The sequence below is a fragment of the Homo sapiens genome, chromosome 16, assembly GCF_000001405.40.
Source record: "Homo sapiens chromosome 16, GRCh38.p14 Primary Assembly".
In the NCBI taxonomy this organism is placed as follows: Eukaryota; Metazoa; Chordata; class Mammalia; order Primates; family Hominidae; genus Homo; species Homo sapiens.
The window spans coordinates 77,187,888-77,214,560 of NC_000016.10; the positions used below are offsets into that span (position 1 = coordinate 77,187,888).

At 48.2% G+C, this 26,673-nt stretch overlaps 3 protein-coding genes and 1 long non-coding RNA gene across 7 annotated transcripts, besides 10 other annotated features; 2 read left to right on the plus strand and 2 right to left on the minus strand.

Annotated features, from left to right (window-relative positions):
• Positions 1 to 2,020: 2,020 nt before the first annotated feature.
• On the minus strand, positions 2,021 to 2,679 carry LOC124903725 (uncharacterized). Its single transcript, XM_047435021.1, has one exon. The coding sequence runs from the start codon at positions 2,677 to 2,679 to the stop codon at positions 2,335 to 2,337; it is 345 nt and encodes a 114-aa protein (XP_047290977.1). The 3' UTR covers positions 2,021 to 2,334.
• Positions 3,021 to 3,969: an enhancer, noted in NCBI's record as "H3K27ac hESC enhancer chr16:77224805-77225753 (GRCh37/hg19 assembly coordinates)". NCBI's record gives its function as "activates a minimal SCP1, AML or CMV promoter by ChIP-STARR-seq in naive and primed H9 embryonic stem cells {active_cell/tissue: H9 hESC(naive and primed)}" and the evidence as "EXISTENCE:reporter gene assay evidence [ECO:0000049][PMID:30033119]".
• Positions 3,095 to 3,384: an enhancer, noted in NCBI's record as "active region_11149". NCBI's record gives its function as "activates an Ori minimal core promoter by ATAC-STARR-seq in GM12878 lymphoblastoid cells {active_cell/tissue: GM12878}" and the evidence as "EXISTENCE:reporter gene assay evidence [ECO:0000049][PMID:35858748]".
• On the plus strand, positions 3,303 to 14,511 carry MON1B (MON1 vesicular trafficking associated B). 3 transcript variants are annotated; one of them, NM_014940.4, is made up of 6 exons: positions 3,303 to 3,371; positions 3,589 to 3,746; positions 5,564 to 5,890; positions 6,448 to 7,267; positions 7,648 to 7,795; positions 10,221 to 14,511. In NM_014940.4, the coding sequence occupies exons 2-6, from the start codon at positions 3,599 to 3,601 to the stop codon at positions 10,419 to 10,421; spliced, it is 1,644 nt and encodes a 547-aa protein (NP_055755.1). In that variant the 5' UTR covers positions 3,303 to 3,371; positions 3,589 to 3,598; the 3' UTR covers positions 10,422 to 14,511. The 3 variants fall into 3 exon arrangements, with proteins under 3 accessions (NP_055755.1, NP_001273568.1, NP_001273569.1); NM_001286639.2 differs by lacking the exon at positions 5,564 to 5,890; NM_001286640.2 differs by lacking the exons at positions 3,589 to 3,746; positions 5,564 to 5,890.
• Positions 3,405 to 3,454: an enhancer, noted in NCBI's record as "active region_11150". NCBI's record gives its function as "activates an Ori minimal core promoter by ATAC-STARR-seq in GM12878 lymphoblastoid cells {active_cell/tissue: GM12878}" and the evidence as "EXISTENCE:reporter gene assay evidence [ECO:0000049][PMID:35858748]".
• Positions 9,173 to 9,342: an enhancer, noted in NCBI's record as "experimental_45171 CRE fragment used in MPRA reporter constructs". NCBI's record gives its function as "activates a minimal promoter by MPRAs in K562 erythroleukemia cells, with activity observed for the non-introgressed 16:77231042 variant allele {active_cell/tissue: K562}" and the evidence as "EXISTENCE:reporter gene assay evidence [ECO:0000049][PMID:34662402]".
• On the plus strand, positions 11,521 to 25,328 carry SYCE1L (synaptonemal complex central element protein 1 like). 2 transcript variants are annotated; one of them, NM_001129979.3, is made up of 11 exons: positions 11,521 to 11,625; positions 18,554 to 18,613; positions 20,323 to 20,382; positions 20,578 to 20,652; positions 21,210 to 21,257; positions 21,530 to 21,584; positions 23,326 to 23,389; positions 24,243 to 24,312; positions 24,395 to 24,482; positions 24,687 to 24,759; positions 24,970 to 25,328. In NM_001129979.3, exons 1-11 carry the CDS (start codon positions 11,565 to 11,567, stop codon positions 25,042 to 25,044), a joined length of 729 nt encoding a protein of 242 aa, NP_001123451.1. In that variant the 5' UTR covers positions 11,521 to 11,564; the 3' UTR covers positions 25,045 to 25,328. The 2 variants fall into 2 exon arrangements, with proteins under 2 accessions (NP_001123451.1, NP_001335853.1); NM_001348924.2 differs by lacking the exons at positions 20,578 to 20,652; positions 21,210 to 21,257.
• Positions 23,700 to 24,244, minus strand: LOC124903726 (uncharacterized). The gene is made up of 2 exons (XR_007065121.1): positions 24,142 to 24,244; positions 23,700 to 24,044 (listed from the first exon to the last, which is right to left on the minus strand). It is a non-coding gene; the product is annotated as an uncharacterized LOC124903726 (long non-coding RNA).
• Positions 24,244 to 24,603: a silencer, noted in NCBI's record as "silent region_7730". NCBI's record gives its function as "represses an Ori minimal core promoter by ATAC-STARR-seq in GM12878 lymphoblastoid cells {active_cell/tissue: GM12878}" and the evidence as "EXISTENCE:reporter gene assay evidence [ECO:0000049][PMID:35858748]".
• Positions 24,244 to 25,324: a biological region, named in NCBI's record as "H3K27ac-H3K4me1 hESC enhancer GRCh37_chr16:77246135-77247108".
• Positions 24,351 to 25,324: an enhancer, noted in NCBI's record as "H3K27ac-H3K4me1 hESC enhancer chr16:77246135-77247108 (GRCh37/hg19 assembly coordinates)". NCBI's record gives its function as "activates a minimal SCP1, AML or CMV promoter by ChIP-STARR-seq in primed H9 embryonic stem cells {active_cell/tissue: H9 hESC(primed)}" and the evidence as "EXISTENCE:reporter gene assay evidence [ECO:0000049][PMID:30033119]".
• Positions 24,664 to 24,993: a silencer, noted in NCBI's record as "silent region_7731". NCBI's record gives its function as "represses an Ori minimal core promoter by ATAC-STARR-seq in GM12878 lymphoblastoid cells {active_cell/tissue: GM12878}" and the evidence as "EXISTENCE:reporter gene assay evidence [ECO:0000049][PMID:35858748]".
• Positions 25,104 to 25,193: a silencer, noted in NCBI's record as "silent region_7732". NCBI's record gives its function as "represses an Ori minimal core promoter by ATAC-STARR-seq in GM12878 lymphoblastoid cells {active_cell/tissue: GM12878}" and the evidence as "EXISTENCE:reporter gene assay evidence [ECO:0000049][PMID:35858748]".
• Positions 25,224 to 25,273: a silencer, noted in NCBI's record as "silent region_7733". NCBI's record gives its function as "represses an Ori minimal core promoter by ATAC-STARR-seq in GM12878 lymphoblastoid cells {active_cell/tissue: GM12878}" and the evidence as "EXISTENCE:reporter gene assay evidence [ECO:0000049][PMID:35858748]".

Below are 26,673 nucleotides of genomic sequence, written 5' to 3' on the forward strand. Positions count from 1 at the left end.
CCGGAGTGCAGTGGTGCAATCTTGGCTCTCTGCAACCTCTGCCTTCTGGTTTCAAGCGATTTTCCTGCCTCAGACTCCCAAGTAGCTGGAATTACAGGCACCTGCCATCACGCCCTGCTAATTTTTGTATTTTTAGTTTCACCATGTTGGCCAGGCTGGTCTCGAACTCCTGATCTTGTGATCTGCCCGCCTCGGCCTCCCAAAGTGCTGGAATTACAGGCATGAGCCACTGTACCCAGCCTGACATTGGACGCTTTATTATCAAACAGAAATGGTACGTAAGAGATCAAGCTCAGGCTTAACATGAGGGTCTAACTGAGTTCCTGTCCTTAAGTCCTAGGCAGTATTTTGTGTTTTCCTTTACGTCCTTTCTTAGACTCATCTGTAGCTTGGGATTACCTGGGACTTACACAGTGTCCATAAAGTCAGGAAGTATAAACATATATAATGTCACAAAGACATCTTTGATCTGTTAAAAAAACAAACAGAAAAAAACTCTGTGTCTGTGTGTGTGTCTACAATTTGTAAACACTCTGCAGTTCAAGCCATGAGCCATAACTTAAAATCTACTGGAGAGGTTTGTTGAGATATTTTTGGTCTTTGCTTTTCTGATTAAAAAAAAAAAAAGGCAGACACACCAGAGATGGCTCTATGTTCCTTCACTTGTTCCCATCTCTCATCTTTGATTGTAGAAATTGTTTAGAGTGGCAAATCATCAAACACGGAATGCTAATAAAGCTCCATAAACTTACGTCTGCAGTTTTGAAATCCAAAAAGCTCCAGAAAAATAATTTTTAAAAGCTCACTTGGAGGTAAAACCTGAACTAAACTAACATAAGACGGTTTAGTGTTTCTCTTACTGGGAGTAATAAAAAGTTTCACTCAGAAAAAATGAGTTTAGTTATCAGGTGTTTCCCAGTCCCTTGCTGGGCTCTATATAATACATGGCACATGCACCTAATTTCATTTCTAAAATCAGGAAAATGTGTGAATTTAAAACACATCTGGCACTAAGGGTTTCAGATAAGAGACTGTGTGACAATTGTTCTTAGTTCTGCCATTTTCCCTGGAAAACAATCTTTAAAGTTCACAGAGCACATCAGCAAGAATTTTTAAAAGGAGCCTAATTGTGATATGGTTTTGTTGAAATACAAGGCAGGTGTAAAAGGAAAATAAATCTCAGGACTCCAAAATTACTAAGCCAAAGGTAAAAGTCAAGCTGGGAACTGCATCAGGCAAACCTGCCTCCCAGTTTATCCCTAAATAAGATATTTACAAAGATAAAGCTACATACTTCCCTCATAATTTGCCCTCTAGGGATTCCTTGTGGGCTGCAAGATCTTTACCCTAAAACGGTTCTGTTGAATTTTACCCTGACAACGTAAATTGATAGTTTATCTTCACAGGTGCGAGACAAAGGAGCGAACCCCAAGTCATCCCTCTGCTCACCTGAAACAAATGCATATCTGATTGCTTCCTCTGAGGTAAAAATGCAGATTGACAAAGCTAGATGAAGGCGTAACTATTCCTCTACTCCCCTGATAAGGTTTGGATCTATGTTCCCACCGAAATCTGATGTCGAATGGTAATCCCCATTATTGAAGGTGGGGTCTGGTGGGAGTTGATCGGATCTTGGGGGTGAATCCTTCATGAATGGTTTAGCATCATCCTCTTGGTGACAGTGACTGAGGGAGTTATTGCGAGATCTGGTTGTTTAAAGTGTGTAGCCCTGGGCTGGGCATGATGGCTCACTCCTGTAATCCCAGCAATTTGGGAAGCTGAGGCGGGTGAATCACCTGAGGTCGGGAGTTCAAGACCAGCCTGGCCAACATGGCGAAACCCCATGTCTACTAAAAATACAAAAATTAGCCGGACGTGGTGGCGGGCACCTGTAATCCCAGCTACTCCAGAGGCTGAGGCAGGAGAATTGCTTGAACCCGGGAGACGGAGGCTGCAATGAGTCAATAACATTTTGCCATTGCACTCCAGCCTGGGTAACACAGCGAGATTAATAAATAAGTTTGCTTATGAGATGTTATTTTATTGTACTTTTTTACATGTTTATTATATATTATATACTTCTAAATGTATTAGGTAAATATATTTTGTATGCACATAAATTTATCCATTGTTTCTGTTATATAAATTTAATATTTATTACTTATCGATTACCTATTGTATATAAAGCACATGATGCTACACTGGTATTTGGAATTCATTACCCTAACTATACTGTAATTAAAATAATTATCCTAACTAGTACCAAAGGCTTCCCCTTAGCAATCACTCGAAGTGTGCCAGCACCTCCACTCACTTCACGTCAAGCGATTCCCATCATTGTTTCACTGATGGAGAAACCAAGGCCCAGGGCACTTGGGGCAAGGCGTTCAGGGGGCTTTCGGTCCGGAAGCAGCGTCGGGGCGGGAATTCGAACCCTGGGTTCCCACACTGGCCCGTGGCAGGGCCCCCAAGCCTTTTCCCAAACTGATCACAGAAAGTGACGACCCGTTCGCCCGGCGGACCGGGGGCGTCGGGCAGGTCCTGGTCCAAGTGAGTGCCCGCCCCTGCCCTGGGCTGGCAGAGTTCTTCCCCCAGCTGCAGGTAGACGTGGGAACCCGGCAGGGTACGGAGCTGCTGGCGCGGCACGCTGATTAGAAGCGGCGACTGCCCGTCAAGCATTCGCGCCTCTCCCCTCCCTTGACTTTCTTGGCAGGGTTAAGGGATAAGAGAAAGTGGAGTTGCCTCAGTTCTGGGAGAGCCCGTTTGTGGGTCCGGCACAGGTATCCATCGGGACTGACGCTGCAAAAGTCCTCTTGTGAAACAAGGAATAGGCTCGAGTCTTCGATTGGGTCGAGGGAGACGTCAATCAATGGATGGGCGTGTGCAAACGCAACACAACGCACAGTATTGGTTAGGATTTGGCGGGGGGAGTAGACAGCGGGGAAATGAGGCGGCTCATCTCGATTGGCCCAGAAAGAAGACGGTCGCGCCCTATGTACTCCGGGATTGGCTAGAGCGAGCCGCGTCCCCCCTCACGCCAACCACTGGTAAGCGAAGTGGGCCTCGCTCTCCCGGGTTAGCAGCCGTAGCCAGATCCGTTGAAAGGAGTGCAGAGAGGTCTCATTGCGCTCCCGAACAGACCTGACGTAGATCCGAAGTGGCCCGCGCCATCTCAACTATGAGGGGACACCCGTAGGCGGCGGGAGAGGGACGCCGCGAGGAGCCAATAAAGCTCCGCAACCGGAAGTGTCTTCTGGGAGGGGTCGTACCCGGAAGTGTGGCACCTCCCGGGCCGCACCCGGAAGTGTGATGCCACCGCCGCTACGGGGAAGTAATGGTATCCGGCCAATTGAGATTCGGAGTTAAAACAGGTGTTTGTATATCTCTATTTCCTGAGGCCCAGTAGAGTCTCCTCTTTTCGGAAAGTGTTGGAGGGGGGACGTATTTGGGCATGATTTTGGATGTCTCGTCCTATTGAAATCCGTGGGGAAATGAGCAGTAGGAGTGTGTCCAAGGGGGCCTGACTCTATAAAGGCTTTTCAGAAGTTTCTTTCACCGCCCGTCACCCTCGATTCCCCTCCCACTCAGGGATGTGCAGATGGAGGTCGGAGGAGACACTGCTGCCCCGGCCCCCGGGGGCGCGGAGGACTTGGAGGACACGCAGTTCCCCAGTGAGGAAGCTAGAGAAGGTGGAGGGGTTCACGCGGTCCCGCCGGATCCCGAAGACGAGGGCCTGGAGGAAACAGGTATGACTCCACTTAGTGGGGTCTTAAAAGGAATCCTTAGGGGTTGTCATTGTTGGACGGGGGAAGGGTCAGTGGGTGACCAGTAGGGAGTCTTGGGACTTAAGAGAAGTGGCTTAAACCATCGCCGGGTCAGGAGGAGGTCACTGTGGACACATGGTGTAGTTTACATCATTGAGGAAGTCATTGGCTGTCAACGGATGTTCACTGGGGGTTTGGTGTGAGTTTAGGTCATTGAGGAATCAAAAAGGGGGCTGTTAGGACCAAAGAGGGTCACTGAGGATTTAGAGTGTTTAGATCAAAGAATGCGCTGAAGAAAGTCAATAGACTCAACAGAGGAGGACTGTTGAGAAGTTAGTGTTTTTGAGGAGTAGGGTGTTATTTATTAAATAATAGAAGTGGGAAGGGGAATCAGTGGAGTTCGATGGGCACTCAGAGTATTTACATCATTGAAGTCACTTGTAGACTGTTGGGGAAGTCTTTAAGGGACCAAATGTTAGTGGATGTGTAAAGTTGTTCATTTGAGATTTAATGGAAGTCACTGAGAAGTCTGTGCCATTGATCACTTTGGAATTAGTGGATGTAAATGGAGTCATTGGGAAGGATCAGTGGACCTCACTGAGAATAAATGTGGATGGGGAGGTTGAGGACTTGGGAATTAATAGCAGGTAAGAGCAGTTATTAGGAGGGAGTAAAGATATTTGGGGACATGGGAGTGTCAGTGAATGTCAGTGACAGAATATGCAATTATTGGGATTTTATGGGAAAATTATTGAGACATAGTTGCACATGGATAATAATGGTTGTCATTGGGGGATGAATGGAAATCAATGGGAATAAATGGATGTGTCAGTAGGGGCTGTTGAAGTTGTGGGTTTTAGTGAATGTTAATGATGGTCATGGGTAGGGGCAATGGAAGTCATTAAAGTCTTGTGTGTTAGTGGATATTATGATGGTTACTGTAGGGAGGGGAGTGGATACCAATGAGATTGAAGGTGGTCAGGGGAGTGACTGAAGGTCTCTGAAGTGCTGGGTGTTAGTGGAGGTTAATGATGGTCATTGTTGGGGGTAGGGGGGAGTAGACATGGAGTAGAATAACTTGTGGATCAGGGCAGTCATGGAGGGTCATTGAAAAACCAGGTGTTAATGATTGTTAATGTGGGGTCATTGGGGTGTTTGTGAACCACAGTGGGAGTGAATAGTGGATTAGGGGAGTCCTAAATATCTGGGTGTTAGTGGATATTAACGACAGTCATTGGGAGAAATAGTGGACATTACCAAGAATATAAATGGGCAACCAGGAGAGTTAGTAGGGGTCATCAGGTATCAGTGGGCATCACTGATAGGGTAGTAGCGGGGGTTGGGGCATTCAAACAGTTAAGATATTAATAGATGTTAATGGTGGCCATTGGGTGAGCAGATATCAGGAGAAAAAATAGCGGTCAGAGGAGTTAATGGGGGATCATTGAAGATGAATAATCGTCATCCAGAGTCAATGGGGTGCTTTGAAGACTTTGGAATAACAGTGATTGAAAGGGAAGTAATTGGTCTGTAGGAACATAGCAAGTCCAGTGGAATAACAATGAGAATATGTTGGTTTATTAGGGTTTTAGGAAGTTCATTGGAACCTAAATGTTAGTGGAGATCATTGCGGGGTCCTAGGGCAGTCATCGGGTCATTGAGGGGCATAGGAGACACTTGGAGTTCTGCGTCAGCATGCAGGGGTCATGGAGGGGCTAGTAGATATTTGGTGGGTCCTTGGGGATGTGGGATTAGTTAGGAGTTCACATGCAGATGACCCACCAGGGGCTCCCTTTCAGGATCCAAGGACAAGGACCAGCCACCCAGCCCATCACCACCGCCCCAGTCAGAGGCCCTGTCAAGCACCTCTCGGCTCTGGAGTCCTGCAGCCCCTGAGAATAGTCCCACATGTAGCCCTGAGAGTAGCTCTGGAGGCCAGGGCGGGGACCCCAGTGATGAGGAGTGGCGCAGCCAGCGGAAGCATGTGTTTGTGCTGAGTGAGGCTGGCAAGCCCATCTACTCGCGGTATGGTAGTGTGGAGGCGCTGTCGGCTACCATGGGTGTAATGACCGCCCTGGTGTCCTTTGTGCAGAGTGCGGGAGATGCCATCCGTGCCATCTACGCTGGTGAGCAAACAGGTGGGAGGCAGAATGGGGGACAGTGACTGGGAATATGGCTGGCACGGGTAGGTCTGTCTGCCTCAGGCACTATCCAGCCAGCCAGGGTTGGGTCCATGTGTGTGGATGGTCAGCCAGAGCTCTGTCAGTGGCGGGAGGTGGGGGGGTTCATCTCTGTCTGGCCTGCTGGTTTCTTAGTGATTGACTTGCTGGGATCTCAGTGACTAGCTGGATACTTCTGTGTCACCTGAGAGGATAACTGTGGGGGCTGTGTGGTTGAGCTGTGTCTTTCTGGCTCTGTGTCAGCCCTTGTACCATCTCTACCCGCCTGCCCGTGGTCTTTGCTGTGTATCTAACCTACTTGTTCCTTTGTCCATCCCATCATGTCTCTGCAAATGTCCAGATTCCTCCAGCTTGTCCTTACCCCAGTCCAGGTGCCCACAGAGTGAGCATGTGGACTCGGGCCTGGTGTGTGTATGGTAGGAGAGGGCAGAAGAGCCCCACTGTCTCCCTCTGGTCATTCCTGATCCAGCTGTACCCCCCCTTCTTACCCCTTCCTTCCCTAGAGGACCACAAGCTGGTGTTCCTACAACAGGGCCCACTGTTGCTCGTGGCCATGTCACGGACTTCTCAGTCAGCAGCCCAGCTGCGGGGGGAGCTGCTAGCTGTGCACGCACAGATCGTGAGCACACTTACACGTGCAAGTGTCGCCCGCATCTTCGCACACAAGCAGAACTATGACCTCCGCCGCCTGCTGGCTGGTTCAGAGCGCACACTGGACCGACTTCTGGACAGTATGGAGCAGGACCCAGGAGCCCTGCTCCTGGGTGCCGTGCGCTGTGTGCCCCTTGCCCGCCCGCTGCGAGACGCACTAGGTGCGCTCCTCCGACGTTGCACAGCGCCTGGCCTGGCGCTGTCAGTGCTGGCAGTAGGCGGTCGACTTATAACAGCAGCCCAGGAGCGAAATGTGCTGGCCGAGTGCCGGCTGGACCCAGCTGACCTGCAGTTGCTGCTCGACTGGGTGGGTGCACCAGCCTTTGCGGCGGGTGAGGCTTGGGCACCTGTGTGCCTGCCCCGCTTCAACCCTGATGGTTTTTTCTACGCCTACGTGGCCCGCCTGGATGCTATGCCTGTCTGCCTGCTGCTGCTTGGCACCCAACGTGAAGCCTTCCATGCCATGGCCGCCTGCCGGCGCCTGGTTGAAGATGGGATGCATGCCCTTGGTGCCATGCGTGCCCTTGGGGAGGCTGCCAGCTTCTCTAATGCCTCATCAGCCAGTGCTCCTGCCTACAGCGTGCAGGCTGTCGGGGCGCCGGGCCTCCGGCACTTCCTGTATAAGCCGCTGGACATCCCTGACCACCACCGCCAACTGCCCCAGTTTACCAGGTAGGCCCTGACCCTAAGGCAACTGGCTGGGTGGGAAGGCCTGTCAAACCAGGAAGTTCAGCATCTCAGGGATGTGACTCAGGAGAGATAACCAGCCATGCTTAAGAAAGAGGGAAGAGAACAAGTCTCTGTCTGATGATGGAGCATCAGCCACAGACCTAAAGGAATCCCCCTCTTCTGGTGGACAGCAGGGCCCTAGTACTCAGGGAATCTCCTAGTTTGATGAGGGAAGGTCAGCCTCCAACCCCTGAGAATCCTCAAGTCTCATGGGAGAGGCTCAGCTCCCTAACTTCATTGAAATCTCTAGACTGAGGGAGGAAATGGGCCAGCCAAGAAGGCCCTGGACTAACCTTGTCCTCCACCTCCCTCCATCATGGCAGCCCTGAGCTAGAGGCCCCCTACAGCAGAGAGGAGGAGCGGCAGCGGCTGTCGGACCTGTACCACCGCCTGCATGCTCGTCTCCACAGCACCTCCCGACCCCTGCGCCTCATTTACCACGTGGCTGAGAAGGAGACACTACTGGCCTGGGTAAGTTGGGCAGGGCTCTGAGTGAATTAATTCCCCACTTCAAGCCTCCTTTCCCTATATTGTATCCCCTCCAGCCACAGTGCCTCCACCAAACACAGCAGGCCTCTGGCTGGGCTGTGCCTTGCCTGCAACACTGTCCCTGCCTTTACACACACATCTTTGAAGCCCCTGACAACTAATGACCGTGTCTCTAATCCGACATTAGCCTCACCCTCCTGTGTGCTTCTCCCAGATTAGCAACCAGGACAGTGTCTTTGACTTTCCAGAGGCCCCATTAACTACCACTGCTGTGCCTGCCGATTCCCCAGTAGCCCAATCCATGTGTTTGGAGGCACCCCATTCATCACCAGCTCATTGTGACTCCATGAGTCCCCAGCACTCCTCAGACTACAGGCGTGGTCCCTTGCTGTGCCCTCCACCTGGGGTATCCTTCCCTTTGGTCTCCTCTGGGCTCCAGCCCTCACTTCCTATGGGTTTGCTAAAGGTCAGCTACTAAGGGAGGCCAGTGAAGGAGGCCTCATCAGAAATGGCACCTGCCATGTAATGCATATTTATTAATTTATTGCGTGACTGCTGTGGATCAGGTATTGTCCTAGGCTAAGAATTTTGTTTTTAAATTTTTTTAACTTTCATTTTCAAATAACTTTAGACTTAGAAGCTGCAAAAACAATATAAAGAGTTTTTATATTTATATTTATAAAGAGTTATAAAGGGCGTGGTGAAAACCACGCCTGGTCAGATGGTGGTTTTCCTAACTCCATCATTCTTTCTACATTTATTGGCTGGGATTTTACTATAAAGAGTAACATGGGGCCGGACGTGATGGCTCACGCCTGTAATCCCAGCACTTTGGGAGGCTGAGGCAGGCTGATCACTTGAGGTCAGGAGTTCGAGACCAGCCTGGCAAACATGGCAAAACCCCGTCTCTACTAAAAATACAAAAATTAGCTGGGCGTGGTGGTGCGCACCTGTAGTCCCAGCTATTCATAAGGCTGAGGCAGGAGAATCGCTTGAACCTGGGAGGTGGAGGTTGCCGTGAGCCAAGATCGCGCCACTGCACTCCAGCCTGGGCGACAGAGTAAGACTCCATTTCAAAAACAAAAAGGAATAACTTTTCCTTCTCCTATTTATTGAATTTTTAATTTTCTATCAATATTGTCTCATGGATTTTTCTTTAATTCAGTGAGCTAAAATCCTTCTCTAGCATTTATTTTGGTGTTCAGATTGCCTCTGATTTAGCCGGTGGGTACCCTGATTTAGCCAGGCTGATCCCTGTGTCTCTGACACGTCCCCTTCACTATGTGAGCACATCTTACTTGACTTTCTCTATTCCAGTCCTCAACTCAGCCATTTTTCCATGGAGCCCTTATACCTTTTAGTAGAGATTGGAATTTTAAAACCAAGATATGGGCCAGACACGGTGCCTCACGCCTATAATCCCAGCACTTTGGGAGGCTGAGTCGGGGTGGGAGTTGGGGGGAGTGGGCGGCGAGTCACAAGGTCAGGAGTTCGAGACCAGCCTGGCCAACAGGGTGGAACCCCATCTCTACTAAAAATACAAAAAATTAGCTGGATGTGGTGGCATGCGCTTGTATCCCAGCTACTCGGGAGGCTGAGGCAGGAGAATCGCTTGAACCTGGCAGGCGGAGGTTGCAGTGAGCCGAGACCGTGCCACTGCACTCCAGCCTGGGTAACAGAGTAAGACTCTACGTCAAAAACAAAAAAACAAAAACAAACAAAATATATGTTAGGAGCAGAATTTTAAACCAAGTGATCAGGGTGGCCTCCCTGAGCAGATGGCATCTGAGTGGAGTAGGGAGGTATTGAGCTACGTGGATATTAGGAGGAAGAGTACACCTGGCAGAGGGAAAGGACTGATATGCTATGAGGTGGAACCAAGCCTGGCTATGTTTGAGGAATAGCAAGGAAAGGGTAGAGTGGCCGGAGCAGAGGGAGTGAAGGGGAGCGCTCTGGGAGGTGGCACAGGAAAGGCGCTAGTGACCTTGTGGGGTCAGGCCTCTCCATGTGGTATGAGGCATAAATTGAGTTCCTCTTTATATTATTCCCTGGCTGTAGATGATGAAAACATAGTTGTAGGAGCTTAGAGCAGGACCTTGTACACAATAGGTTACTGACAGAATATTAAACATTGTTACTGTTTTCCCCAGTTCCCAATGAGCAAACAGGTCTAGAGAGTACCCACACACACAACCAGCATCATCCAGTTGAAGTCACTAGGTCCAGCTGAAATTGCACAATATCAGCTTACCTACCTTAGCCCAGTATCTAGGCAGCACCTGGTAGGAGGTGCTGCCAGGTACATGTTCCAGGTTGCAGGAGGCAGACATGCAGCTGCACTGGGGTAGGCAGGATTGTCCATAGCCAGCTCTGGCCCATCTGACTCTGTCTCCTCCGAAACCCCCAGGTGACCTCCAAATTCGAGCTCTATACCTGCCTCAGCCCTCTGGTGACCAAGGCAGGTGCAATCTTGGTAGTGACCAAACTCCTGCGCTGGGTGAAGAAAGAGGAGGACCGGCTCTTCATTCGTTACCCACCCAAGTACTCCACACCACCAGCCACCTCTACGGACCAAGCTGCCCATAATGGCTTGTTCACTGGACTCTGATAGTTGGAGCTCCCAGACCAGGCAGTGCTGGGAGCAACCACCTTTGTTTTTTACCTTCTGTCTACCCTGGAAATGTGTGTGGGGGTGTGTCTGTGGCCAGTCATTGTCTCCCTAAGCAATGGGGCAAGGTCTGAGGGCCCACCGATGAGAGAGATGGTGGCAGCCGCCAGGCGAGCAGGCTGCTTTCCCTGCCCAGTCATGCACCTCCCCCTCTGGGGAAATCCTTAGGCCTCCCTCTCCCTTCCCTCTGTCTCATCTCCTCCACTTGGATGATGCTCTAGCCTCTGTCAGGGACTGTCCCCTCCAAACTTGCTTCCGTGGTCTGCCTCCTAGTTGAATCTCAGCCCTGAGTGTCCAGATCTGGCCAAGGTGTCTAGGGTGGCCCACGGGGGTGCTGGAATTGGCACTTCAGGGCCAGGCTATGCTTGGGACTGGCCTGAGGGTATTTTAAAGAAAAAAACTACATAAAAGGCCTAAAAGTAAGACCCACAAGGATATTCCTTTGCCCTTCTTGTACTTTTTTCATCTTTACCCTGCCAGAAATGACCCGCCCTCAATGCTGGCTGCTGCTAACATTAATGAGAAGGTGGCCTTCAGTGTCCACCTGTGGAACCCAGGACACAGCACCTGACTGCACACAGTGGCTGAAATCCAGCATTTTTACATAGGAGATGCACTTAGCCTCTAAGCCTCGTTTTACTCATCTGTGAAACAGAGATAAGTAACCCTCTCTCATGAACTCTTTGATGAGGATTTGTAAACGAAAACAGACTCGAACTATTGTGTACCACCACATAGCACATGCACGTCTGTCCCAGACTTTGACAACCTGCACAAGACAAGCAGCCTAAAGCAGGAGAGACCTCCCTAGGGTTTTGTGTGTGTGCACACTACCCTCACTCCCCAACTGGCCATTACCCTAGTTCTGCCCTTGTTTGTGGAGTTACAGCCTCAAGGTTGTAGCATGTGTGCTGGCAATCAGGGCCGCAGTGTGTTCTGCGCCTGCCCAGAGCTGACTCCTGATTTAACCGCTGGCGTAACCGCGGGTTGCACGCATGCGTGCTGAAAAGCCTTTCACCCTCACGTGGTTTCTTTTTTAACCAGTCATCAAGCGAGGCTCGCGCGCAGGCCCCGCGTTGGAAAATGGCGGGGAAGCTGAAACCTCTGAATGTGGAGGCGCCAGAAGCTACTGAGGAGGCTGAAGGTAGTGAGGGCAAGTGGGCTGCACTCCTTTCTCTCCAACCAGGGCAGAAAGGAGGGAGGATTCGTCCCATTACAATAATGAAATAATGATATTCTAATTTTTTTAAATAAAATGTTAAGCCTTTTGTTATTGAAGAAAAACAATTTTTTAACCGTTCAGCACAGTGGAGATAAATTAACAGGCATATTCTTATCACCGAGATTAACTTTTGTCAACTGTAGTGTATACGTTGTTGAAAGTAAACAACATGTAGTTCAGTACGAAAGTCTTCAAACAAAAGTGGGGCGGTGGGGATGTTCTCATAACAATCACCGTGCTGCAGCCACCCCTTATTAACAGTAATTCCCAGTGTCGCCATTTCACACCTAACACATATGACACTTTGATGGACTCTTAAACCTCCTAATCGAACATGGCCTCCCCCACAGCCTCTTTTCTCCAGGGTATTGACTTGAATGACAGGCAAAGGAGGGTGGAGGGGTGTCGGCCTAGACACTATTGGAAATTGTATTCCATCCAAAAGAAAAAAAAATCTCAGGCCGGGCACGGAGGCTCACGCCTGTAATCCCAGCACTTTGGGAGGCCGAGGCGGGCGGATCACGAGGTTAGGAGTTCGAGGCCAGCCTGACCAACATGGTGAAACACCATCTCTACTAAAAAACTATATATACATATACATATGTGTGTATGTGTATTTATATGTATGTATGTATGTGTGTGTATATATATATATATGTATATGTGTATATATATATATATGTGTATATATATATATATATACACACACTAATCAGCCGGGCGCGGTGGTGTGGGCCTGTAATCGCAGCTACTCAGGAAGCTGAGGCAGGAGAATCACTTGAACCCGAGAGGCGGAGGTTGCAGTGAGCCGAGATCATGTCACTGCACTCCAGCCTGGGTGACAGAGTGAGACTCCGTCTCAAAAGAAAAAAAATTCTCCCTTGGCCGGGCTTGGTGGCTTATGCCTGTAATCCCAGCACTTTGGAAGGCCGAGGCGGGTGGGTCACCTGAGGTCAGGAGTTTGAGACCAGCCTGGCCAGCATGGCGAAACCTCGTCTCTACTAAAAATACAAAAATTGTCCGGGTGTGGTGGCGGGCGCCTGTAGTCCCAGCTACTGGGGAGGCTGAGGCAGGGGAATTGCTTGAACCCGGGAGGCAGAGGTTATCGTGAGCTGACATTGCGCCACTGCACTCCAGCGCGGAAGACAGAGTGAGCAAAAAAAAAAAAAAAAAAAGAAAAAACAAAAAGAAAAAAATCTCCCAAGGCAGTCATGCATTTGTATGCCACTAGCATTTTTTTGTTATAGAAATATTCAAAGTGTACCAACGTAGAGAAAATAGCTTTAAACAAAGCCCATGTGTACCTATCAGTATGCTTTAACTGTTGTCACCTTTCTGCCCCACTTTTATCTATCTCGAACACCCCTTTCTGCACACTCTTTAAACCACTGTATTAACAAACACATTAGACTGCATCCTGCCAGACCTACCCATACAGACATCAAAGTAATGATTATTGCTTATTGCCTGACCTAGGATGTGAGCTCCATGAGAACAGAGACTGTTTACCTCTCGCTCCCCTGCACCTAAAACAATGCCTGCTTGGTGTAAAGTAAGTGCTCAGTAATTTTTTAATGTGTGACCAATGAAATAACTTCAAGAGCAGAGAGCTCTTTTAGATTAGAGGCACATACTAAGTGCCAGCATTCAACAAAAGACAGACGGAAATAAGACAGATGCAAATAGATCTCATTTATTAACTGTGTAATGCAGCTGCCACTGCAATTAAAAAAAAAATTTTAGTATCAACCTTTCAAATTCCTCAAAATTAAAGTTATGACTAACTTCACCAGCAAAGGAAAAATTGAAGGATGTATCAAGTTGCCATTTCTAGCCCATCAAATCGGCTTTATAAAGGGAAGCATAGTATCTGGTATTGACGACCTTGTAGAGAAACAGGCCTTTTCCTGCCTCAGGGAAGAGAGCTGACTCAAAGTAAAGGCTTTGCTAGAGGCAGTCGGCAGAGTATTTTTAGCATCTAAAATGCTCTTCCACTTCGGCAGTGACCATGCGATGTAATCAAAGGAGAATACGTAAGTGTATGGACCAGGAATGGTCACTGGAGTGTTGATGTAGGCACAACACAAGAAGTAGTCACAGAAATTGCTAAGTCTAGGTTTATGTGTGCATGCTGTGGAGTGTCTCTGTGGTGGATTTCTTTTTAAGAGGCAGAAAAAAATTCTAATTTAAATGTATTAAATTATAAGTTCTAATTTAAATGTATTAAAATTAAATTATAAGTTGATAGGATTATTATTGACACACAAGGAGCTCCAAAAGAGATCGTATTTTTATTAGAGACAAGCCAGTTGGGATTGAAACAAAAATGGAGGGGGGTATAGCCCTGTGTATGTTGCACAGAAAAAGTATCTGAATGATAAAGGCCTAAGTGATAACTCTGGACAAGGAATTTGGATTTTGGGAGTAGTGCAGAGGTAGAGGCATTTTTGTGATTTATTGTTCTATTTTTTCTTCTAGAAAAATGTAAGTAGTCATATATAATTTTAAAATATAAAGGAGAAGAGGCAAAATGTTGAATGGCACCTGAGGATCCTATATTCATATTGGATCAGTATTAACATCCAGGTTTTGATTGTTGTACTATGGTTACCTGGTAGATTCCCTTTGTATATAGGAAATAGACACTGGAATAGTAAGGAGTAGTGGGTCAAGATGTCTGCAACTTATTGTTCAGAATCACTCACAAATGGGAAATCTGATATAAGGACAAAATGGGAGCACTGTGGCCTATTTTTACAACTTTTGTGTACATCTGCAATTGTTTCAAAATAAAATGTTTAAAAGGGTGCTCTTACTGTGCTGGCCATTTTCTTTTGTAATGGACTTTGTGTGTGTGTGTCAAAATGTTAGTTGGATTATTTAAAAGATTTATTTATTACCCACTCTTGGCCTTATTTCATGACTAGCACTAGAAAGCAGAGAGAGGAAAAACACAGATGGAGCTTCTGCAGAAATGGTTGCAAATGCCAGCCATAAAAAAGATGTGGAGACAATTGGGAAATTAATGTATAGCCTGGGTATTAGGAGATGTTACCTGATGAGTATTAATCTTGTCAGTTGTGATTATAGGATTGGGGTCAGCTAAGAAAATGTCCTTAAGTAGTTGAGACTCCTAATGAAGTTTCTGGGAATAAAATGTCAAGAAGCCGGGGGCTTGCTTAAAAATAATTCAACCCAGGAAAAACATAGCTGAAATAAATAGGGTGAATATTAATGATTGTCAGATCTAGGCAATGAGCATATCAGAGTTAATCATAATATCCTCTCTACTCTCATGTGCATTTGAAAATTCTCATAATAAGGTATTAAAAATAAAATAATCACAAACACCTCCCCTTGTTATTAAAGTAGCTTTACTTTTTTGTCTTATTTCCAAAATATTAAGAATATTTTTAAAATTAAAAAAATCTCAGGCAGGGACATGCCAACTTGTTCAAAGTGATTGTATCAGGGGAAGCAGTGAGATTTAGGATTAAGGAGAGAAGAGAAAATTTCATTTTTTACATCACGTATTTCTTTGTTTGAATTTTCTTAGAATTTTACTCGAATAAGAAAGTAAAAATTAAAGCAATACGTGAAATGTATTTTACTAAAAGACCAAGTGTTGTCACCGAACTGCTGGCAGTGGTTACTTCTGGGAAAAGGAGTGACTTGGAGAAGGGGCTGCTGGTGAGGGGAGACTTTTCCTTTTTATTTTATTCTTCCACATTTGTTTATCATGTAAGTTATTCTACATGTGTTTATTATGTAATTTAAAAATTAAAATGCAAATTAAAATAATACATACTAATTTATAAAGGATTTCAGGCCAAAAAAAAAAGATATAAAGAAGGTGAACATACCACCAAATATTTCAAAAAAAAATCTAATAAGCTCAGGTTAAAAAACCCTGATTTACAACATGGATTTTAATGGCTGCAAAGAATTTCAGCCTGCAAACATGCTGTAAGTAATCCCCTAAGGTATCTTCAAGTTACTTCCTTTTTTTTTTTTTTTTTGAGATGTAGTTTTTTGCTCTTGTTGCCCAGGCTGGAGTGCAATGGTGCCATCTCGGCTCACCGCAACCTCCATCTCCCGGGTTCTAGTGATTCTCCTGCCTCAGCCTCCCAAGTAGCTGGGATTACAGGCGTGCATCAACATGTCCGGCTAATTTTTGTATTTTTAGTAGAGTTGGGGTTTTGCCACGTTGGCCAAGCTGGTCTCGAACTCCTGACCTCAGATGATCCACCCTCGTCGGCCTCCCAAAGTGCTGGGATTACAGGCGTGAGCCACTGCACCCGGCCGTTACTTCCAAGTTTAAAATTATAAGCAGTGAAACAACATCTCGCCCACCATTATTAATTATGTCCTTAAGACACATTCCTAGGAGTGGAATTTCTGATCAAGAGGAAATGAATAAGGTTTTGGTACTTATTCATCAGAAAGTTTGAAATGAAACAGTTTTTGCCTGTCCAGTTGGCAAAAAAAAAAAGAAAAAGATTAAAAACATACTTGCCTGGTAAGAGTATGATTTTGGGGCCTGAGACAGGTGAAAGGCAATTTCCTATCAGCCAAATTCCATAATATACATTCCCTTTGGTCCACCAGGTAGCGTCTAGGTAGTACTCTATGTGTACCCAGTAGATACAGTCTAATGCAAGCACAAAGAATAATGTACAAGGATGGTGTACTAGGTTAAATTGTGTCCCTCCAAAATTCATGTCCACCAGAACTTCAGAAATGTGACTTATTTGGAAGTAGGGTCTTTGCAGTTATGATTAGTTAAGATGAGGTCACACTGGATTAGGGAGGGCCATAATTCAATGGCTGGTGTCCTTATAAGTAGAGGGAAATATAGACACATAAAGATATGAGAGTGGCAGGTGAAGACACAGACAGGGAAGACCCAGTTTGTGGTACTTTGTTATGGCAGCCTGACAACACAAATGTAGATGATCATTGTGGCATGCCTTGTAACAGCAAAATAAGGTAAACAGCTTAAATATCATCAATAGGATATTGCTTTGAAATTACGGTATATCCACACAGTGGAATGCCATGCAGCCACTAAAAAGAATAAAAAGATCACTGGTGTACATTGTCAAATGAAAAATACAAGATGGGGTGCATCATGTACAACATGCTACCACTTACATAGAAAATGTGGGATGTGGCCGGCTGCGGTGGCTCACACCTGTAATCCTAGCACTTTGGGAGGCTGAGGCGGGAGGGTTGCATGAGCTCAGGAGTTCGAGACCAGCCTGGGGAACACAGTAAAACCCCATCTCTACTAAAATACAAAAAATTAACCAGGTGAGGCGGCGTGCGCCTTTAGTCCCAGGTACTCAGGAGGCTGAGGCAGGAGAATCGCTTGAACCTGGGAGGCAGAGGTTGCAGTGAGCTGAGATCGTGCCACTGCACTCCAGCCTGGGTGACAAAGCGAGACTCCATCTCAAAAAAAAAAAAAAAAGAAAAGAAAAAGATAATGTGGGAGGTATGTTTGTATATACATTGAATTATCTCCAGGTACCTACACATAGCTTGTAATGCTAGTGGCCTCTGAGGAGGAGAATTGGAGAACTTAAAATCTGAGGGAGAGGGAATTTTCACTGTATACTATTGTGGGTAAGCATTTCTTCATTAACTTTTTGGCTATCATGTTTTGTGAGCCGCCTTTCGTCTTCTCTTCAGTTTTCCTTAGAGAGGCGTAGGTCACTGAGATTTGACTTTTACCACTGATTTCAAGACTTAAGGAATTTTTTTATGTTAATATTTTCCTGTGGTTTTTCTTCTTTGAATTTTAGAAGTAACACAGGCTCATGTTAAAATATACATAGAAGTAAATATATATATATATATGTATACATACATATTTACATAGAAGTATATATGGTGAAAAGTGTGGTGAATCAGGGTTCAAATATTTAGTTGATTGATATATGCCTCAAGTCTTTTTTAATCTGTAGGATTTTCTCTCTCCCTCATTTTCTTCTTTACAACTTATTTGTGGAAGAAACCAGGTTTTCTTGTGCAGTTTCCCACAGTCCACGTGATGTTGAGCACATCCCCAGTGGTGTCATTTAATGTGTTTTCCTGCCCTTTGTATTTCCTCTGAATTCATATTTAGATGTGGAGACCTGATGAGATTCCATCCCGCTTTTTTGTTTTTGGTGGGGGTTTTTGAGGCAAAAATCCTTCATCAGCCGTGTTGTGTTCCTTCATCTAGAGGCTCATAGGGAGCACTCCCCAAGGCAGCTTGTAAGTGCATCCTGAGCTGCAGTCCTCAAACTTAGCTGAAACAAACTCTCTATATTAAAAATAAAAATAAAAATCCTTTGAGCTGGAGCTGCAGGGTATAAAAAGAAAAAGAGAGAGGCTCATAATATCCAGTTGTCTTTTTTTGATGTTAGTAGCCATTAGTAACTATTACCTAGATCTATCAGTTCATTAAGAATTTATAAATTATGAGCTATTATTATTTCAAAGAAATTCATATGAAATCTTCCTGCCCTATTGTTCTGGTTAGAACTTCATAATGATCTTGAACAGCAGCATCAGCAAACATGCATTCTCTTCTCTCACCCCTGAGTTTCATTAAGGGGATGTTTGTGGTGGTGTTTTTTAACCCCTCAGGGAGAAGCTGACCCTTAGGGGTCCTGATTTATCTAGCACACACTATAAACCTCAAGGGCAAGAGACGGGGGCCCTGCTTCAGATGGAAACCTGTCTGTCATTCCATCCTTAGCCCCAGCCCACGGGTGTCTGCAGAGCCCACTGGGACTTCCTGCCTCCCTTCTCTCTCCCCTCTCACTCTCGCTGTGTCCTGTAATTTTGATTTTCCTTTCTACAGGGCAAGCCAAGTCTTTGAAGACTGAAGACTTGCTGGCAATGGTGATAAAGCTGCAGAAAGGTCATGTGTCTCTTTGTTTCTGAGCCTCAGCCTGGGGTTTCAAGTCAGAAAGACATGGTACAAATTCAGCCCCCTGAACTCACAACCTCAGGAAATTATCCCATTGCACTTTCTCCCTCTTATACAGTTTAATTCTTTGAACCAAGAATACAGTCCCACAGTTCAAAATTCAAGAAGTTTAAAGGAATGGAAAAACCAGTTCCCCCGCCATCCCTACTCCCTCCCCCCACACACCAGTCATCTATTTCCCTGACTCATGGGCAAGCAGCTATTGTTTTTCAATTCTTAAGTATCTTTCCAGAGATTTTTAAAAAATGCATTCATGGATGTATATTTTTTGTCCTCCCTTTTTACACACAAATGGAAATGCAGTTGGTTTTGCACCTTGCTTTGCTTTTTGCGGGAAACCTGGGAGCCAGTGTGCACCCAGTATCTACATCAGAGCTGAGGCAGTGCTGGCCAGAGGTGAGACCCCCAGCCCATTCTCATCTTAAAATACTATCACGTCAGTCTATTCCAAACAAAAGCAGCAGCCTCCCCGCTCCCATTCTGTGGCTGCCTGCAGAAGAAGTGCACTGGGACTGCTGCCTACGGTAAAATTAGGGAGAGAAATTGCAGGGCTAGAAATGCAGTGATCCAACCTGATCATTTCCAGTAAAACAAAGACCCCCAGAGATTTCTGTCAGTCATAATCAGCACCGTGGAGAGCACCCACTCTCCTGGAAATCACAGAAGCTGGAGTTGGTGACCTTGGAAAAATCCATGGTCTGAGTTTATTAACCCCAGAGTGTCTGAGGGGTCAGCAGTGAGATCTGGCAAGGGTTGGACAGCTTTTTGCCCCAGTTCCGTGTTGGCAACCTTGAAGCCAGAGAGGGATGAGAAGGAAGTCTTCTGCGTACAGAGCACTGAAACAGGGGCTATGAGAAGTTAGAGGTGATTCCCTAAAGGGATAGTGATCACCCTGTCACTGGGAAACTTGCAAGCTGCCACCAACAGTGTAAAAGCAGGGATTCCCCATTTCTCAGATGAGGCCAGTACCAGAGCCCAGACTGACAGAGTGACAACCCTTCCTGCCTGGATTTTGACAGGGCGGGGCAGATGGGACGTCTCCATTGGCTCACACCACACTCAGAGTTACATCTAAAGGCTTCCACGGTGGCCCAAGAGGCCCTAGTGATATCACTTCCCACTTCCCCCACCTTACTTTCTGCTACTCTCCACTTGCTCACTAGACCTGAGCCACACCAGCCCCTCACTGTTACTTTGGACACGTGCCTCACCCGCTCCTGCCACACTACAGGGAATTTGCACTTGTTCCCTCTGCCTTGTTGCACTCTGCCTGGAATGGGTCCCCCCTCCATACTCTTTACCCCCACAGAACTGCAGGACCTGCTTCCTTCTTCTCATCTGGGGCCTTTGCATATCCCCAGACATGCCTTTTACCCTTTTGCTCTTCAACACTTTGCCTCACTTTATTTCTCTTCACAGCAGTTACTGCCACCTGAATTGATTTATTTATCTTTGCTCAATGTCCATCTTGCCAACCCAGAATGCAAGCCCTTCAAGGGGCTCTGGCAGAGCTCAACACACAGCAGGCGCTCAATATATGCCGGTTAATTGATAGCAGCAGACACAGTGCTTCTCCGTCTGCCTTGGACAGCCAGACACCAGTCTTCTCTGGCTCACTCTTTCTTCCTTTCTTTCTTCAGAGGGAAGCCTGGAGCCACAGATAGAGGACCTGATTAGCCGGATTAATGATCTTCAGCAAGGTAAACTTGGGGACTTAGACTGGCCAGCTGGGGCGAGCAGGAAGTGACTGGATTTATAATGAATCCACCTCCTCATCTATAAAATCTAGGCCCCTCTAGGGTTGTTTGAAGATGACTGTGCAATGTCATATTTGCGAGAGAACAGCAAGGCTAGAGACTACACTCATACAGTGTCTTTTTCCCTTCTTGGCCCAGCAAAGAAGAAATCCAGTGAGGAACTGAGAGAGACCCACAGTCTCTGGGAGGCCCTGCATAGGGAATTAGACTCCTGTAAGTGGGGCCAAAAGAGGGACCCATCAACACTGCAGATGTTCCTGTGCATACCTCAGGGCCTTTGCACAGGCTGCTCCCTGGCCTACAATGCTCTTAGCTCACATAATCTGTATTGCCTTTCACTGTCTCATGTCATCTTTCAGCTCTCAGCTCAAATTTCACCCTGATAGGCCTATCTTGATGGTCTCATCTAAGAATAGAATCCCGCCCTCTCTTGGTCATTCTCACGCCCCTGGCTGATTTGTTTCTTAAGAGCCTTTATGTCCACCTGACACTGTGTGTGTATTTCTTTATAGCCATCTTTCTCCTCAGTGTAAACCTTGTACATTCTTCAGGGTCTTCACTCCTTCAACATTTACAAAGAATGTGGGCATAGAGGGGGAGAAGCTGGATCAGGATGGTCCTTCTGGGAGATGGTTGCAAGGGTGGCAAGAAGATACCTCACCTCTCCTAGGGCTGTACTACACCTTCTGTGTGGCTTTCCCCTTATATGAAGTTGCACTGGGGATGGCAATGGGGTGCCTGGAGGCAGAAAGTGTCATTGTGTTTTCCAGTGAATGGAGAGAAAGTGCACCTAGAGGAGGTCTTGGGCAAAAAGCAAGGTATTTACCAGTTGCTGTGTCTTCCTTATTCTACTCTTCCACCCCACAAAAGTCTATGCTCCTCAGAGCAGCCAGAGGAATCCCACTGAAACCTAAGGCAGGGTGCTTCCCTCTCTGCACAGATCTCTTCCTGGATTGCTACATCACTTGGAGTAAACACCCAAGTCCTCACAGTGCCCTCCAATGCCTGACATGATGTGGGGCCTATTACCTCTGGCCAACCCTGACTCCCCAAGAGCTCTCAAAGGGTCCCCTTGGTTCCTTCCCCACAGAGGCACTGAGGATCCTCCAGATGCACTGCCAAGAGAAGGAAAGCGAGGCTCAGAGGTAAGAGGCCCTGCCTCAGCTCTTCCCTACCTCATTCCCCAGCTGAAAAAGGAGGGAGCAAGAGCTGTGGAAATGAATCTTGGACACAGAAGCCTCATTTTACCTTTCTATAAAATAGAGCAGCCTGACAAAAGATTTCCTTGGTTATCTCTGATATTAAATGGTCGTGTTAAGATTAATTTACTCATTTAATTATTCGTTACTAATTTCTTTATCAAATATATTCCCTCCATTGGTCTTAGCCTCAGTCTTTTTCTGTTGGCTATCCAGCTCCTTTGATATCCATTCACTTGCTTATTTGCCTCCTTATTTTAAGCCCCAGTCATCCATTTGCCCACCCATTCATCTATCCACCCATCTAGCCATTCACCTACTCACTCATTCATCCATTCATCCATCTATCCAACCATGTCATCCAGCCAGATGGCTGTTTTATCTCCGGCCTTCCACCTAACAATCTTCCATCCATCCAATCATGCATTCATCCTCTCTTTATTCTTTCCATCATATATTCACTTAGCCAAACATCCATCCAGACATCTACCCTTCCTTTTAGCAATCCTTTCTTTCTCTGTCCAGCCACTATTCCTCTACTCATCATTTCTCCAATCAGCTATCATTTCTCCAGCCAGCAACTCACACATCCAGTCAACTGTCTATCCAACCTGTATCCATCCATCTCTTCATCCTCCCGAGTAGCTGAGATTACAGGCATGTGCCACCATGCCCGGCTAATTTTGTGTTTTTAGTAGAGATGGGGTTTCTCCATGTTGGTCAGGCTGGTCTCGAACTCTCGACCTTAGGTGATCCTGCCCACCTTGGCCTCCCAAAGTGCTGGGATTACAGGCGTGAGCTACCACACCCGACATCTTCTGAACTTTTACCTAGCACACTCCTGTTACCAGAGGTCTCTCATCCTGGTGCACCATGATTTTAATTGCATGGGGAAACCTGATGTTAGCTAATGTGTGATACTCAACCACACTACTCACACTGTATGATGAGCATTTATGCTCATTTATGTACCTAATCCTCACAATGATAATTATAGGAGTTAAGGCTAATGTCACCCTCCCATCACTACCACCATTTTACATATTAGGAAACTGAGACCCAGAGAGGTTAAGTAACTTGGCCAGGGTCTCGGTGAAGTAACAGATTAGGGTTCAAGCCAGGATGTTATAGAATCTGTGGTGCCAAATTACCACACGCCTCACAAAGCTTTCTTGGGAAGGCAGAGTTCATTCCATGGGGGACAGGATGGACAGGGTAATGTTCTCAACAGAGGCCCATGAAGGTTCTCATTCAACAGGAGAAACAAGAAAGGTGAATGCTGTGAACAGACATCCCAACTCCCACTCCTGCTGGAGTGAATGATGGGTCATTCAGAGAATATGACTGAGGGTTGTCTTTCCCTTCCCAGGAAGCACATGCTGCAAGAGTGCATGGAACAAATTTTTGCCCATAATTCTCAGGTTTCAGAGTCTCAAACAGAGGAATCTGGGGTAACTCCCAAGCCTGGGGCCTGGCAGGCCACTGTGTAGAAAGTGGGAACAGGGCTTGCATCAGGGAGAGTTTGTTGGAAGAGGTGCTACGGGAACCAAAGCTTAGAGGATAAAACCCATGAAGGGGCTCCCAGCAGAGGGAGCATGGGCAGGATCTGAAGGCCTGTGCATGAGGAGCCCCCAACAGGGTGTCAGGCCTAGCATGTGTTCTCTTATTCCTGGGTGTCGGCCTCCAGGTTGGATGTCAGAGGACAGCTGGAGGATCTGATGGGCCAGCACAAGGACCTCTGGGAATTCCACGTGAGCCATTATCATTGCCTGCAACCAAAGCCACTCCTCCCTGGCTTTAGTGTCGCACTGACTGGCCCAGAGTCCACCCCTGCCCAGGCTCAATGCCGCGGGATAGTCCTTGATTCCTTGCTTCCGCTTGCCCACCTATTCAGTCCCTCAGCTTTTATCTAAAATCAACTTACGCCTCACCATGCCCCACTGCCACACCCAGCATCACCTGCCCAGACGGGTGCAGTACCATTGTGATCCTGCTTTCCCCCTGCTCATCTAGTGTATGTTCACCTTGCAGTGGCAAATGGCAGCCCAGGGAAAGCCATGGTCAGGTCATTCCTTCATTTAGCTAATGTCAGTGGTTGCACCGGTCAGCATTTGAGGCAGGGAGGGAGGGTAGCAGATCAAAGAGTCCACGTCTTTGCTGTCCCAAGCTGGTTGGGGACGGTGGAGGCACCAAGAAAGTTAGTGGCTAGATCGTGGAACTTCAGTGGGAAGGCCTCTAAGCAAGTGACATCTCAACGCAGAGGTGAAGGAAGTGAGGGAAGAAGCCGTGCAGGTATCGGTGCAGAAGGAAGGCCCTGGGGCTGGACGGTGCCTGAAACCGTTGAGGAGCCGCAGATTGGGGAATGGAGGATGAGGAGAGTGGGAAGAGTTCAAGTTTGAGAGGTGCCTGGAGACATGGAGAGCGTTTAGGGGGAGGTGGGTGGGTCTCCAGCCACAGCAGGAACTGCACATTGAGTTAATAAATAGTTGAATGAATGAATGACCTAATGTAGGTGAAGACTTCGCGAGAAGCACAAAAGGGGAGGGGCGGGCCGTGTAGCCAAGAGGACGGCCAAACGGGGAGGCCTCCTCTTTGTCCTCGCAGATGCTGGAGCAGCGACTGGCCCGGGAGATCCGTGCCCTGGAGAGAAGCAAGGAGCAGCTGCTCTCGGAGAGTGAGCCTCCCGCGCCAGGTGGGCGGGGGGAGGGGGATGTGCCCGGGCCTCGGCCCTGCCCCTGACGCCCGCCCACCGACAGGGAGGCTGGTGCGCGCCAAGCTGCGGGAGGTGGAGCGGCGGCTGCACTCGCCGCCTGAGGTCGAGGGCGCCATGGCGGTGAATGACGGGTGAGAGGGGAAGGGAGGAGTGGGCGAGGAGGGCAGGGGCAGGGCGGAGGGGAACCCGCCCAGGTCCCCCGCTCCGCCCCCGACTGCCGCTTCCCCGGCCTGTGCCTCCCTCGGCGTCGTCGGGTCTCCGCGTCTCGGTGGCTTCCTCCTCGTCCCCTGGACTCTCGCTCTCTTCCTCCTGTCTCCTCGGCCCCTTCTCCGCAGGCTGAAGGCGGAGCTGGAGATATTCGGGGAGCAGGTCCGGAGCGCCCCCGAGGTCGGGGCCGGCGAGGGAGAGGTAGGGAGCCCGAGGAAGGGAGGCGGGGCGGGCAGGGACCGAGTCAGGAGAGAGCGGGCGGGGGTCCTGGGAGCGGCCCCCGAGAGTGGGGTCTGTGGGGAGCAGGGCGGCCCCGGGGACAGAGGAAGCCGCGGTGGAGGCCTAGGGCAGACGCGGGCGGACGCGAGGAGCGTAGGAACCTGGTCCGCAGCCTCACCCAGCCCCCGGCAGGCCGGACCTGAGCTCCCCCGCGCTCGCGACGAGGAGGATCCCGAGCCGCCGGTGGCTGCCCCTGACGCCCTCTAGGCCAGCAGGACCCGCCCGTTCCCGACCTTCCCTCGAGACCCGCCAAGAAATAAAGGCGATGATTTCCGACCATGCTCGCGTTCTCCGCGGAGTCTGTGCTACACCGTGGAGCGGGGCGGGGCGTGCTGGGATCTCGAGGCGGGGCCTCTGCCGGACCCCTCCCACCAGTCGAGCCCCGGGCGCCGTACAGAGGCTGGGTAAATGCTCCTGAACTCAGAGAGAGTAAGTGGGTGTCAGTATCCCCCGCCCCACGGCCTCATCTCGAGTTCCCAAACCATCTATGTTGTCAACAGGGGCCGGAGGGCAGGTGTTAACCCATTCCGGTCCTCGGGGCCTGTGCGTCTCCGGTGGTCTCAGGAAACCCAGAGTCTCTGCAAGACCCGCAGACTCGCGCTGGCTCTGGGACATGCCCGCCCATCTGAGCTCCCCTCACAAATTGGGTTCTAGCCAAGGCTGCCTCTCCACCCGTCTCAAACATTCCAAAACACGTGTCCCCTCGGGGCCTTCGCCCTACTGGTCCTTCTCTGGGGTCACATCCCCCAGGCAACCTCAGATCTGTTAAATGTGTCCGCCACTCTGGAGGCCGGCATTTGGGACCCAAATCCAAAGGCACCCAGCAGCAGGCTGCGGCCATTGACTGAGCATGTACTGACTAAGCAGGCATTTGCCGATTGCCTGCTGGGTACCAGGCACTGTTCTAAGCACTGGATTTTAAACAGCGCGGTCAGCGACGGCCTCACCTAGGAAGTGGTATCTGAGCGGAGAAGCGAGGTAGAGAAGCGAGGGGGTGAGCCCTGTGGGTGTCTGGGGAAAGGTGGGCCTGGCAGAAGACATGCCTCATGCCAAGGCGGGAGGTGAGGCTGCACTTCGCTGTGTTTGAGGAGACGTCTGGAGAAGGCCGGCGTGGTAGAGTGGAATGAGGTAGAGTGGGATGGGAGACGACACTGGAGAGTTGCCAAGGACCAGTCAAGTTGGACACTATCTAATGTGTGTAGAAGAGGACCTGGCACACAGTCAGTATTCAGTGAATGCCAGCTCTCACATATTGTTGGGATGATTCACTATTCCCAGTCCCTAGAGAATGGGAACTGAGATGTGTGACTCACTTAGATCAGAGGCTTCTGTCCATTAAGTGATCAGTAAGTGGTTCATATGATTTATTATTATTATTCCCAGGCTACAGATGAGGAACACTAAGGTGTGTATATCTCTCAGAACAGAGATTTTTATAACATAAATGCTCAATAAATGGTATCTATCATTTATTATTCTCACTGCTATTCTTGCTGTTATTCCCAATTTAGCGATGAGGAAAATTGAGATAGTGAATCTGTACAGTAAGCCCTCAATAAACGTTGGGTCTCACGTTTGTTGCCATTATTATCCCAAGTCCACAGATGAGGCCCAGGGAGCTTTAGTCCCCGAGTCACCACTCGCATCCGGGCAGAGCTGACTCCAGGCCCAGGCTGTGGTCCCCTGCCCCACTGACACCACCTACTTGCTAAGGCCAGTCTCCAGGAATCTCTAAGGAACTTCAGTATCCTCTTTGTCATCCTCTCTGTGTCACACAAATGGGGTCAGCCTGGATATTCTGCCGATTTACCACTGGGCACCTAGGATTCGAGTCCT